Raw genomic sequence first — 14,143 nt, forward strand, 5'->3', positions numbered from 1 at the left:
CATACTCTTAAGGCTTAATATTTGTCTCTTTATTGATTTACATATTTGAAACCTAGACAGTCTTTTCAAAGGTGAGTAGATATTTTATATGTCTGCCTTCTGGTCGGTAGCAGCAGTTGTGCAGTTACTCAGCTGTTGGCAGTTCTGTTACTTAATACAGAGGCAGAGAGCGAAAGACTTATTCAGAAACAAAACCTCTGCTTGAAAAGTTCTCAAGGCCAGCCATGGTGGTTCGGCCTGCAGTCCCAAGCTGGTGTGGCCTGCAGTCCCAGCACTTTGGGAGGCTGAGGTGGGAGGATCACTTGATCCCAAGAGTTTGAGGCTGTAGTGAGCCATTGATATGGCTCCGTTGTCTGGAGAAACACCCAGGGTCTCTGGTCTCGTGCTGAGAAAATCAGCAACATAGATACACATGGAGTGGTTTAAGGAGCGGAAAGTTTAATAGGCAAGAAAGAAGAAAACAGCTCCACCGTACAGAGGGAAGAGGGCTCAGAACGGAAAACCCCCATTGCTGGGGGGAATGCCGTAGGTTATATTGGGAGGCTGGATGAGGCGGTATCTGATTTGTATAGGGCCCAGGGGATTGGTTTGACCAGGCTTGTCATTCACATAGCCCATGAAAAACTGGCCCTCCTATCCTAGTCTTTTAATATGCAAACGCAGCTACCTGGCTGGTTGCCATGATGTCCTGCCCACATAGTCTCTACCTGGCTGGTCGCCATGATGTCCTGCACACGTGGCAACAAAAAGTGGCAGGAACCGCCATACTGGGTGGACCTGGCTTTTAGTTGCCTGCATTTGCATATCAATGCTTGCAGGTCTGGTTTTTCAGTCTGCTTTCTGTTAGAAAAGAAATGTTTTGGGGGCTGCTTTTTCAGTAAAAGAAAAAGCCTCACCGAGGACTCTTTTACCCTCTCTATCTGCTTAAAATAATTCTTAATAACTCCTGTAATACCATGATTGTGCCACTGCACTCCAGCCTGTGTGACAGAGCAAAAACTATGACCCTGTGTCTAAAAAACCCCCAAAAACCCAAAACCAAAAAACGAGACTGGGCGCAATGGCTCACACCTGTAATCCCAGCACTTTGGGAGGCTGAGGCGGGTGGATCACTTGAGGCCAGGAGTTCAAGATCAGCCTGGCCTGTTACATAGTGAAACCCTGTCTCTACTAAAAAAAAAACCAAAAAACAAAAATTGGTCTGGCATGGTAGTACACGCCTATAATCCCAGCCACTTGGGAGGCTGAGGTAGGAGAATCACTTGAACCTGGGAGGTGGAGGTTGCAGTGAGCCGAGATTGTGCCACTGCACTTCAGCCTGGGCAGTAGAGTTAATGAGACTCCGTGTCAAAAAACAAAAAACAAAACAAATGTTCTCAAGTCATGTTCAAGAGATAATGGCGGACATAATGGAACCTCCCTAAATCTGATTTTCTCCAGCTATAAAATGAAGGGCCCAGATCAGGGGATGCTTAAGGGCTTTGCAAGTTCTAAGACTCAGCCATCTTGAGATTGGAAACAGCCCTGTAGGTTCTTAGGGCATGATGAAGACCTTTGAGGAGAAGTATTTTAACAGCTTTGTGTCTTGGGGAGGAAGAGTCATGGGGAGGTGATTAGGTGGGCATTAAAGGAGCAACTGGAGAAAGGAGAGACTAGGAGGCTGTTTTGATAATCCACATGTGAGGTAGACTGCCCCTTCCTGAGTGCCTGAGGGGCACTTGCACCTTGGGACAGGGTCAAGGTTTTCTCTGAGATAGCAGCTCCCACAGGCCTAGGAGCCTTCTTTCATGAGCTTGCTGCCCTGGTTCATGAGGGAGGGATTGATGGATCTCTGCCCCGTTCTGTTTTTTTGCTAGCACTGTCTTCACACCCTGTTGCCGTTTATGTTTTTTGATGAATGATTAATTAGAAAAATAATCATTTGTAAATTGTGAGTGAACCAGACATTTGGCCCTGACTGTAGGGAAATGGCGCCTCTGAGCCGGGTGTAGCTTGCAGCCAGTACATCAGAGCTCCAGTATTCCCAGACCAGTGATGAATTTACATGAAGTTCCTTTTCAGCATGTTAATGACTGTTACAGCTGAGTAACTAGCGAAAAATAATAGCAAATGGGAAGAGTAAATATTTAATGCTTTTATATCTTTTAGCTTACTGTGGAATATGTATTTTGATTTAGGAAGGACATGAGAGTCTTAGAGACATTAGAGACAATGTTAGTGTGTCTGAGCCTCATTCCTTGTTTCCTTTTCTTTCTTTGCACTTAATTAAATTAAAAGGATAAAGTGAGTTGTTGTGAGATGGATTTTACTAGGGGAGTGGTTTTTCTGTAAGTTTTAGGTCACAAGATGCGTCTTTCCTGGCAGTTAAAATCTGTATGTTCAGACTACCTCATTGATTACGTGCCTGGTGTGTACAGGGACTCATATTGTTTCTAAAATTCAGCTTTCATCATTTTACTCTCCTGCTTAAAAACTTTAGTGACTCCACACCGCTTCTGGGCTGAAAGATATACTCAGTAGCCTGGCTTTTAAGGGAGGGCCTCTGTGCTGTGAGTCCAGCCTCTTTTCAGGCTCTCTCCCTAAGGCAGCTCCATGTGGCTACATTGCTCAAGCCACAGTGGTTGACTCCCTGTTCCTGTAACTTGCTGGAGGCTTCCTCACCTTTGCACCTCTGCTCAGATCATTTTGGGGCATGAAATGATCTTGTCTTTTTCTCTATCTAAAGCCTGCTTTTCCTCCAAGGCTCAGTTCTAGACGTTTCTGTGACTACTCTGACTGGATAGGAGCCTGTTCATTTTGGAATATAGAGAAAATTGAAAGTAGGTCACAGTTCTCTATTCCTTCCAGTTTGCCACCTCTCTACCACAGACAATTAATAATGAACCCTACTTTTCCCCACTTCCTGTTTGGCCACCATCTAGTCTTAGACAAACTAAGCTATTTGTCCAGGTAAACAAGTAGTTGTGGACTACAGAAATTTCTGAAGATTAGAATTGAAGTTAGTAGGGAAACAGGCCTCAAGGATAGTGCCATATTTTCTGAGAGCAGATGATTTTCAGACAAAAGGTTTTACCAACAGCATTCATATAAAGTACTGCTTTAGTCTGAGTTTGCAATGGTAGAAGTAGAGTATCTAAAGAAAGGATCCATGCCCTTTTTTTTTTTTTTTTTAAATAGAGACAATGTCTCACTATGTTGCTCAGGCTGGTCTGGAATTCCTGAGCTCAAGTGATCCTCCTAAAGTGCTAGAATTACAGGCATGAGCCACCACACATGGCCAATCCATGCCTTTTTACTCTGTTGTAGAGACTGTCTTGGAGTGTTGAGTTCAGACCCAGATAAAACAATAATCTTTAGAGGAAATGACCAAGATGACCAGAGGTAGGTCTGAAAACATGAAGGCCGTGTGGGTAAGAGAGAACAAGGGAGTCCATGCCTTCTGTTTTCAAATATTTAGGAGGCTACTGTCAGGAAGGAGGGATATTAGACTTCATGTATGGAACCATGGAGTGAGAACAAAGATTGCTGGGTGTAGGTTATACCAAAGATAAATTTTATGCCAATATAAGAAATAATTTTCTCATAGTGCTGTGATAAAATGAATTTCCCCAGGAGATAGTTTCCCAAGTAGGAAGGGATATGAACAACAGGAGCTGATATTTGAATCGTGAATATACGTGGCCTTATAGTAAAAGGACCACAGATACTCGAATGTCAGACCTTTAGGAACAAGTCATTTTCTACTGTAGGATTTTGGAGGGTTCATAATAGAAAGTAACACATCTCCTTGTGTCTAAAAATAGGAATAAATCCTAATATGAACCAAAAAATATATTAGGTACAGTTTTCTGAGTTGATATTGAAATGATGAAAAAGAAAGAGATCTGGGACTGGGGGTTCTTAACACACTGGGTTTAGGGACCTCAAGAATATTGTTTAAGAATGACGAGAGATTTGCAATTTCCAAGGAGTCATAAGCAGTTTCAAAAAGTTGAATGTTTTTGAGGAACTTAAAATTCTGTTGTTTTCAAAATACTATAGAAAAGTAATATTACAAAATTGTCTTGACATAAGTAATTTGGGTATGCTGTATAAAGGCTTCTAAGAATTAAGAAACATGGCCCGGGTTGCAAATTTTAATGCATGACTACCTTTTTTTCTATAGAATATAGCTTTTGTCAGATTCTCAGCAGTGGCTCTGATCCAGAAAACATTAAGAACCACTGGTCATGAGTGGTGATTTTCAGCTTTTTTGGTCTTAACCCACTTAGGTGGGACAGAAGCTCCTTATCTCACCTATACCATCCAGCATCAAGATAAGCACACGTTAATATGAACCATATACATATTTTGTTTTATAAAAGTATCCCATAAGCTTTAAAAATGTAATTTTGTCATACTTACCTTGGTATAGTAGATTGTAAGTTATTTAGAGACTATAAAGTCACAGATGAATGTTTACAAGTACTCTTTTTGGAGTTGGGCTTATTCTATCTATGTCTTCTTTAGCAGTGGGGATTTGGATTATTCTTAACCATAACACATACAAGTCTCATTATTGGAAAATTACAGGACAGAAACAAATGCTGTAAATATGCACCACTGCGCATCATGAGATTAAACAGACAATTTTCAAAAAGTCAAATTTCTAATGATAAAATTAAAGTAAGTAATTTATATTTAAAAAGCAGGAATAGCAGCAATGCAAACTGTGATTGACTTAAGACCACAGTGAGGTTACAGTGATAATAAATCATTCTTCTGGAGAATTGTGAGAATTTTCTAACTGTTGGTGTGTGTAAGTGCAAGGTAGGCACTTTGCATAATTGTATAGTAGCTGACATTCTTGATATGCCAGTTTCAAGTCCTTTATATACTTTGCTAACTTGCTGATATTAATTTATTAATACAGGTTTTTAGGACTCCCCTCTCTTATCTAAGGTAACTAGCTTATTAAAGCTCATATTAAAGAAAACAAGTATCTGTGGAAATGTTCTTGTGGGTACCAGTGATTCTAGAGCCTTACGTTAAGAAACACTAGTCTAATGGATCAATGTATAGGTAAATGATATTAGACATTTTGAGTAGGATTAAGATCCAGGAGACTATCTGAATAATGACCTTTCTCTCTCTTTCTTTTTAAAATATGGTCATCCTAACGCGTATGATAACCCAGATACTCTTTCTTTTTAAATACCCTTTTATTTACCAACCCTCTTAAACCTGGCCCTGAAGTTAAGATCAACAGCTATGTGTGAATAATTTTTTTCCTTCTCCTTTGCTTTGCTTTTCCTATCAAATTGAAATACCCTGCCACTTTCTTCCCTCTCTGAAAACACAAAAGAGGATTAAGCCATATAATGGACTATTTATGTGTCAAATTAAACGTTTTACTCTGAGGCTGTTTCTGAGTTATGCGAGCAGTAAAAATATGTATTAAGCTGCCAAGCCTTTTAAAAAATGCATGTTATTTAGCTGATAGCCTGTAACAGTCTGATGGACCCATAATGGTGTTTTGAGTAAATACGCATTTGAACAATTTATGAAACTTATGTTTACATGTGTATTAAACAGCCTGGGTAGGGAGTGACCAAAAGTTATTACCAGTTGACAGCTGTTGTCTGGTGACCAATTTGAAATGAATTGGTGGATTCCCTTCAGTGCGGAGTAAACAGGTTTCCCAGTCAGGGGAGCATGCTGAATAATTATCAGTGTGTGGGGCCTCAGCCCTGGAGGCCTGTGTGTTGGTTGAATGAGGTGCTGGAATAAAATGTCTCAACTCTACAGTGAAGTTGCACCTTAGATTCACATTTATGATCTAGTTTATTTTGTACTTGGAAATTTATAATTATGTTCACAGAGTACAGGCTGTGCATAACAATATATTCTGCCCTTGGGAAGAGGGTTCATGTTTGTTTATTTCCTTTTTTTCTTTTTTAACTGACATATAATCGTACATATTTATGGGGTACATAGTGATGTTCAATACATACAATGTATAGTGATCAGATCAGGGTAATTAGCATTCCATCATCTCAAACATTTATCATTTCTTTTTGTTGGGTGCATTTAGTATTTTCCTTCTAGCTATTTGACAATACGTAATATATTATTGTTAACTATAGTCATCTTCCAGTGCTATAGAACACTATAATAGAACTTACTCCTATTTAGCTGTAGTTTTGTATCCTTTAACAGAGCTCTCCCTATCTTCCCCACACCCCCTTGTTTATTTCTTTGACATTATCCATCTAGGGAAATGATCTTGAAATTTTTATGATGTGTCCATATCAACAATACATATTTTATATTTGTTCACTTCAAAATTATATGCATATTTACATGTGTAAATTTTATTCCAAAATTAGGAGTTTAAAGGATTGAGATAAAAATTAATTACATATAGATAATTTGATTTTCTTTTTGTACCTGAATGAATCCTCTTTGGCACTGTCTGGGATGTGCAGATTTTGCCTTGGAGATTAAGGCGAGTGTCTTGAAACCTTTGTGTAATGAAAAGGGCATTGTGGATTATAGTCATTCATAAACCTGGGCAAATCATTCAGCTACCTTGAGGTCTAGTTTCCTCATTTGTAGAATATGGATCCCTGCCTGGGGGGTTTCATAAAGACTACTGATAGTAAATGTCAGGTGTCTACCTTGACCACAAAATCACTTCCTCAGAGAGGCTTTCCCTGACCTCTTTTCTCCATGATAGCTCCTCTTTTCTTCCTGATCACTCTCTAACTCCTTACCTTTTAATTAATTAATTAATTAATTTTTTTTTTTTTTTTTTTTTTTTTGAGACGGAGTCTCTCTCTGTCGCCTAGGCTGGAGTGCAGTGGCGCGATCTTGGCTTAATGCAACTTCCACCTCCTGGGTTCAAGCGATTCTTCTGCCTCAGCTTTCCGAGTAGCTGGGACTACAGGTGCGTGCCACCATGCCCAGCTAATTTTTGTAGAGACAGGGTTTCACCGTATTGGCCAGGCTGGTCTTGAACTCCTGACCTCGTGATCTGCCTGCCTTGGCCTCCTGAAGTGCTGGGATTACAGGCGTGAGCCACCGCACCCGGCCTTTTATTTATTTATTTATTTATTTATTTATTTATTTATTTATTTATTTATTTATTTGAGACAGAGTCTCTCTCTGTCGGCCAGGCTGGAGTGTAGTGGCATGATCTTGACTCACTGCAACCTCTATCTCCCAGGCTCAAGTAATTCTCCTGCCTCAGCCTCCCGAGTAGCTAGGATTACAGGCATGTGCCACCATGCCCGGCTTAATTTTGTATTTTTTTTTTTTTTTCAGTAGAGATGGGGTTTCACCATGTCGGTCGGCCAGGCTGGTCTTGAACTCCTGACCTCAGGTAATCTGCCTGCCTTGGCCTCCCAAAGTGCTGGGATTATAGGCGTGAGCCACTGCGCCCGGCCAACTCCTTACTTCTATTTAAAACAACTTTTTACCATCTGAATGAATATTATTTAAGTTTCTACTGGATTGTAAGCTTTGTAAGGGGAGATATTTTTAAAATTTTACTTTTTTGGTCTGTTACTGCTGTATCCATAACTCCTAGAATAGCATGTGCATGGCACATAGTAGGTACTCAGTAAATATTAGTCATGATTTGAATATTTCATAACTTAGTAGTTGACTAATAAATAGAGGCTGTTACTGTTTTCATGGAGTATCCTACATATAATATAGTTGGTGTTCTAGGATAGAAGACATAATTCTCTATGTATGAATTGCTCTCACTGTCACAGGATCCTTAGGGTGTCACTTTTCCAGCTGGAAACCTCTGTGGCCTATGGTGCCTTTGCCCAAGTTTTGCTCCGGCCTGCTGGGCTTGTTCCACCCACTCAGCTGGGCAGGCTGTGCTCAGGTTTTGCTGCCGGCCTGAATCCCATGCCTGCCAAGTGTGAGCAGGCGCAGAGCGGCAAGGGGTGTGTGAGCAAGTGCAGGGTCCGGCCACTGGCACAGCCAGGCATGCTGGCTGTGGGGTGGGCAGCTCCATATGAGGCTGTGGCTGGACCAGGTGTACTGCAAGCAGCTTCCACTGTGGGCACTGGGGAATGCGGTGGCACCTGGAAGCTTGGAGACTCCAGGAACCACAGAACCCCAAACAGGGTGTCACAGTCCTGGCTTGTAGAGCCACTAGGTTTGGGCTTCCTGAAGGGCTGCAACTCTTCTCTCTTTCTCGTCACCTGCAATGTGGCTATTGGGGGTTGTGTTACACCCCTTTCAGTCCCGCAATTCAGCGGGTGCTGAGTTTTGTCCTGCATCCAGGAAGAATGAGATACGTGGACAACCAGAGGGTGAGCAAGGCGGAGAGGGGCTTCATTTAAGTGACAGAAGAGCTCTTAGGAGATCAGAAGTGGGTAGCTCCCTTCCACAGCAGGTCATCCTGACGAGTTTCCAGCTGTCAGCAGAGAGGAGACCCATAGTGGGTAAGTGCTTTCCATAGTCAGGTTGTCCTGACAAGTTGAGGAGACCCAAAGTGGGTATCTCCTTCCTGCAGCTGGTAGTCCTGACATCTGCCTGAGTCTACCTGAGTCCGAGGGTTTTTATGGGCTCGGAAGGGAGGAAGTATGTGCTGATTGGTCCATGGGTGGCCATGAGTGGGCCTGGAGAAAGCACCGTAAGTTCTTATTCCAAGCCACGGACTCCAGCTGGAACTGGCAGCCTGGCCCCTAGGCTTCAGGCCATCCCTGGCTTGAAGTTGGGGTTTCACAGGGGACCTACCCCTTTCCGCCCAGGAACCTGTCTGCCTCCCACCGTCAACAAGCTGTCCATTGTGTCTAGGCTGTTTGTGCAGAGAGGGGTGTCTGCAGACCCATGCCAAGCTACCCTCAGCACCCACCCCCATCCTCCACTTCCCTCCTGCACCTGTTTGCAGCCAAAGTCCAGAGGGGGCCGAGGTGGCAGAGGGCTGGTGTGTCAACATCACCTGAGCTACTGTACACCTGACTGGGTCGCGGCAGTGCCCAGTCTCAGCCACAACTTTGCTCTGCACCAGAGCAGGTGCCGGGAGTGGGGAGAGGCCAGGGAGTGGGAGCATGTACTTCCAAGCCTATGGGAGTTGGGCCCCCGAGAACACAGGGATGCCTGGGTCCAGAGCCACAGCTGGGCAGCTGCAGCTGTGCCCAGGAGTGCAGGGCTCCCACCCTGCTAACTCGGTATGGGGTGGGGCTCCTGTCTTTTCCTGGCTGTGCCTCCCCTGCTGCAGCATGGGCCGCTGCTGCCATCATCAGTGGGACCCAAGGCAGGAAGTGTTTTTTCCTGTAGGGAGGATAGATTTTTTTTTGTCTCTTACAGGTAGCATCTGGCAGGCATGTAGAAGTTAGACATGAAGCCTCCACCCATGGATCTGAGCCAAGTAGACTGACCTGTGTAAGCTTCAGATGCCTCAGTCTTGGTCTCCTTAGCTCCCTGTTTTTGTCAACTGTGCCATCCAGCTGAGCACCTTAGAGCTTGAAGCTGAGAGCTTCAGCGGGGCCAGTGCCTACAAGGGCTGTGTGTATATGCTTTAGAGGTGGGAGAATTGTGCTGCCAGTGGGCGTTTGGCCCACTAAGGAGAACACCTGTGACCTCTGCAATCTTCCCTACCCCTGGCATTCCAAGTGCCATTCCAAGTCTGTAGAGATAATAGAACAAACGTAATTTTTTGTGTGGTTGGCAACGAAGACTGGAGGAGAATAACCACACCTTTGGAAGACTTCGGTGGTCCTTTGAAATGAGGAGTTTTTATAGAAACACTTATCATTTTAAAGACCTACCATTTTTAAGGTCACTCTTCTGCTAGGGCTGTGAAATACAGACATATGAAATGTTTTCCAGTGTTGCTCTGGTACTTACGTGTGTGATGATTTTATTGGAGAAATGGATGAATATGAGGTTGGAGAGTCTTTACATGTATGAACTATCAAATATACAGTTCAGTAGCCTGAAAACATTAACAAATAGCTTTTATTTATTGTATCCTTATGTCTTTCAATTTGGTTCTTATCTGTTGTCTCTTCAGTTGATGCAAATTTGTGCTCAACTTTTCCTGAGGGGAAATGGAGAGATACTTTCTTGGATTAGCTTATGATCTTGAACTTGACTATTTTAAAGAGTCATGGTATATACCAATCTGGATTGTGTTTAGGATGGGGCTTGGGGGATGGTTTCTTTGTTCTCTTTTGGCCCACGTCTTCTAACAACCCATTTGTTTAGGGGGTTTTATGCTGCTTAGAGTGAGCTGAGAATGTGCTCAAGCACATAATTTTAGCCTGTTTTTCAGGTTTACATGAAAAATGTAACAGGCTTCTGAAACCCCTCTAGGTTCCAGCTTTCAAGAGGCTGGTCAGGAATGCACTGACCGAGAGACTTCCCTCAAAATTAATTTATAAACACGCTAGAACTTTCCTCACCTTAATTTTGAGAAAAAGATCTCTCTCATGGCATTTTCAAGTGTTATGGTAGATGGAAATAATGAGGAAACTGTGGCACCTTGAACAGAGTGAGAGGTTTAGAGTTGTATAGACCTTAGTACAAATTTTGACTCTGTCATTAATTACCTGTTCTGTCATGAGTGAGTTACTTAACATTCCCTGAGCCTCAGTTTCAGCATCTGTACAGTGAGGATTCTATTTATTTCATACTGTTGTGGAGACTTGAGCAACAGAGTGTGAAAACATCTGTCAGCGCCTGGTGTATTTTGGACATTCTGTAAATCTTAGCAGCCCATTTCCCCATTCTGGGGGTAAAGCCACAGGACTTTTTTGGCAAATAGTTGAGATACTTGGTGCCAAAAGGAAATTTAACTCATGCCATGACAAGTTTTTTTGTATAAGGATGGGATTCTGGAAACATGATAATTTTTTCTCTTGGCCATATGGATTAGCAAAGGCTTTAGAAAACTACAAAAAAGACTAATTTGTTGCCTCTGGATGTGTGTGTTATTTTGGGCTGTTAATATACTTGACTGCTTGTTTCAAGGACTGGAACCTTTTCTTTTACCTTTAAGATTCCTGCATTTTCATGTGCTCATTCAGCTGGGATTTGTGTTTCATAGAACTGGTAGTATTGGAGGTAGAGGAGATACTGTGATATCATATCTCTCTCTCTGTCTGTCTCTCTCTCTCTCTCCCACTGAAGAAGAGAAGACAAAATTTAGAGAATTTGAGACTTGCTCAAAGTTGTGTAGCTAGTTAGCGATAAAGCTGGAATTGCACCAGATTTGATTTCCATGACATTGCTTTAGCCTGGTGGTTCTCAAAGCATGGTTATTGGACCAGCAGCATCCCTTGGGAATTTGTTAGATATGCAAATTCATGAGATCCCCATTCCCTTATCAGAAATTTTAATACGCTGTGTAGGGTGATTCTAATGCCTGCTAAAACTTGGGAACCACTACTGTGGTCTTTACACTATTGGGCAGGGAGATGGGAGACTACAGGTAGATTTGCTGAATTTCATGGGCAACACTAGGTTTTCATTTTACCTTATTGTTCTGCCATTTAGATGTCTCCTCTTAAAACATTTTTACTTGCAGTGATGGCTTCCTTAGACTCGTGTGTGATTGTTGCTGGGGCAGTTAGGTGGAACTAATAGGTGTTGCTTGTTGATTCCCTGCTACCAAGTACTAGTTTTGAAATTTGAGTATTCATTAAAAACAAATAGGGATTTCTGTGTCTCACTCCTGGAAATTCTGACTCAGTGGGGGTAAGGATTAGGAATGTTTAATTTTTGAAAGCCCTGCAGGTAATTTTTTTTCTACTTTTTAAAAATTATAATTTTTATTTTCTTTACTGTTCTTTTAAGACATCCTGTTATAGCATCTGCAGGTGATTTTGATGCCCAGCCATGTTTGGGGAAAAAAGTTTGGGTTCTGAGTGAAAATAGAAAACGTAATGACATGGAAAGGAAGTCAGGGGATAAGAAAAGCTCTATGGCCAGCCATGGTGGCTCACACCTGTAATCCCAGCACTTTGGGAGGCTGAGATGGGCAGATGGCTTGGGCTCACGAGTTTGAGACCAGCCTAGGCAACATGGCAAAACCATGTTCCTATTCAGGAACAAAGAATAGATCACAAATTAAACTCTGTGGGTTTTCATAAGTGGAAAGTTGGCTTTCGTTGTTCTGTATTTGGGTGCTTAGTGGACAGGAGTTATCTAAAAGAAGTAATTATAGTTGTAATGCGGACCCTCAAAGTTGAAAGTAGATTGAAATCCATTATTTTACAAGGTGGCCTTACTATTTATAGTTTGACTGTAGGTATGGCAGTGAGAGATAAAATTACTTTTTCTAGCTTTGCAAAACGCCAAACGTCTTTGAAATTAAGAGTAAAAGGGGTTTAAAATATGTACTGCTTTATAAAGCAGGAAAACCCCACTGGAACATTTTGGGTGTTTACAGAAATGGGTATTCCATGGGAGAGAACGTGGTAACCTATGTTTTGTCATCATTTGTTTAATCACTGAAAATATATTAACAGGCCAGGCATGGTAGCTCATGCCTGTAATCCCAGCGCTTTGGCAGGCTGAGGTGGGAGGATTGCTTGAGCCCAGGAGTTTGAGATCAGCTTGGGAAACACAGTGAGACTCCATTTCTACAAAAAAAGAAAAAAGAAAAAAAAGTCACATGTGGTGGCACACCCCTGTGGTCCCAGCTACTTTGGAGGCTAAGGTGGGAGGATAGCTCGAGCCCCAGAGATCAAGGCCGCCGTGAACTGTGATCGCACCACTGCACTCCAGGCTGAGCAACAGATCAAGACTCTTGTATAAAAAAGAAAAAAAATTTTTTTAAAAATATAAATATAGATTAACAAAGTAACAGGGAATATAATATTTTCAGGTTGGTCATATAGAGGAAATACTATATTGTGTTATTCAGCTTAATAAAATATAAAACAAAAAAATTATTAACTGTTTGAAAAATTGTAGTCAGATATTTGATTAGGGGTAGGTCCTGATTTGGATGAATTTGAATCACATTCGACTAAATATTGTGCTTTTTAATACTCACTTTAAAAACAAAATTAATTGGGCAAATGTTCATATCCATTTTAAAAAACTATCCTCTTAAAACTAGATTGATAGTAGACATTAATAGGCTTGATGTTGTTTATAATATTTTGCTATATTTTAAGAGCATGCTTTTGTATATTTTCTGTTTTAGTGAAGCATTTTAAAAATGCCCCCCTCCCACAACTGCAGGAATAAATCTAACAGATTTTGACCAAAATTACTCTAATTTTGAATTTCTTGAAACTGGGTATGGAAACTAGACATTAAAAAAAATCTTTATTTTTAAGCACGGTTTCTTGGTCAGTAGCTTCTGTATTACGGGAGAACACAAGAAGGGGCCTTCTTGACACTCAAGAAATGCTCTTTTTCCATCTACAAATAGGAAGACACCCTTTGTGGTATTTTTGTTTTGTGGGCCCTGAATGAAAACGTATTATGATCAGTTTTAAAAATTGCTGCCCCTTTAATATCTGAATATATTCGTGGCTAGTGAAGCACATGCATCTGTCAGATCATGGGTGAGAATTCACTTTTCTTTTTGCGATTTCTCCAGCCACAAGGACAAATTTAGTTTTGCAGAGCAGTTTGACACCTCTAGAAGCCTGCGGTTAGCCTCGGTGCACCTCTAGCAGCTGCATAGGCTCAAGAGGACCTCTGTTCTTCCCTTTTTGGTTTGGTTACCTTACCCCTCCTCAGGGAAAGGCCAAGAGACTCAGCACTTCCTCCCCAAGTGAGTTTCCTTAGTAACGTCAGCCTTCTCTAATGCTGGCCAAGGGTGTCTTTGCTGGGCTGTTTTCCCTCCAAAATAGACTCACTGGGGTATAGAATTTTTTTTTTACGTGAAGGGTATAGAATTATTTTCAGAATAGCAGCAGGGTAATTAGGCTCATTGTTGACATGTCATTGAAGTCTCCATGTGACAAAATTGCTCCTCCCTCTTTGAGCACTCTGAATACTCTTACCCTCTTATCTCGATCTGCTCTTTAGAAATACCAGCAGATAATCTGGGAGAAGGCCACCATAGCCATGCACAGAGTGGGGAGAATGAGGAGATCTTTGCTGAATGTCTTTTAGTTGTTTGAGTTGGAGATAAATGCAGAATGACCTCCATTTTGCCCTAAGAACCTGACCTTCT

General features: G+C 41.7%; 1 protein-coding gene across 17 annotated transcripts in view, besides 6 other annotated features; it reads left to right on the forward strand.

The window, feature by feature from the left end:
- Positions 1–14,143, forward strand: part of AUTS2 (activator of transcription and developmental regulator AUTS2) — a 1,195,032-nt gene that overhangs the window by 84,091 nt on the left and 1,096,798 nt on the right. The gene's annotated exons all lie outside the window — the stretch shown is intronic.
- Positions 238–307: an enhancer, noted in NCBI's record as "active region_26096". NCBI's record gives its function as "activates an Ori minimal core promoter by ATAC-STARR-seq in GM12878 lymphoblastoid cells {active_cell/tissue: GM12878}" and the evidence as "EXISTENCE:reporter gene assay evidence [ECO:0000049][PMID:35858748]".
- Positions 348–487: an enhancer, noted in NCBI's record as "active region_26097". NCBI's record gives its function as "activates an Ori minimal core promoter by ATAC-STARR-seq in GM12878 lymphoblastoid cells {active_cell/tissue: GM12878}" and the evidence as "EXISTENCE:reporter gene assay evidence [ECO:0000049][PMID:35858748]".
- Positions 348–767: a biological region, named in NCBI's record as "Sharpr-MPRA regulatory region 1350".
- Positions 458–752: a silencer, noted in NCBI's record as "tiled region #1350; K562 Repressive non-DNase unmatched - State 24:Quies". NCBI's record gives its function as "represses a minimal TATA promoter and a strong SV40 promoter by Sharpr-MPRA in K562 cells {active_cell/tissue: K562}" and the evidence as "EXISTENCE:reporter gene assay evidence [ECO:0000049][PMID:27701403]".
- Positions 508–567: an enhancer, noted in NCBI's record as "active region_26098". NCBI's record gives its function as "activates an Ori minimal core promoter by ATAC-STARR-seq in GM12878 lymphoblastoid cells {active_cell/tissue: GM12878}" and the evidence as "EXISTENCE:reporter gene assay evidence [ECO:0000049][PMID:35858748]".
- Positions 718–767: an enhancer, noted in NCBI's record as "active region_26099". NCBI's record gives its function as "activates an Ori minimal core promoter by ATAC-STARR-seq in GM12878 lymphoblastoid cells {active_cell/tissue: GM12878}" and the evidence as "EXISTENCE:reporter gene assay evidence [ECO:0000049][PMID:35858748]".

This window comes from Homo sapiens, chromosome 7 (assembly GCF_000001405.40).
Source record: "Homo sapiens chromosome 7, GRCh38.p14 Primary Assembly".
Lineage (NCBI taxonomy): Eukaryota > Metazoa > Chordata > Mammalia > Primates > Hominidae > Homo > Homo sapiens.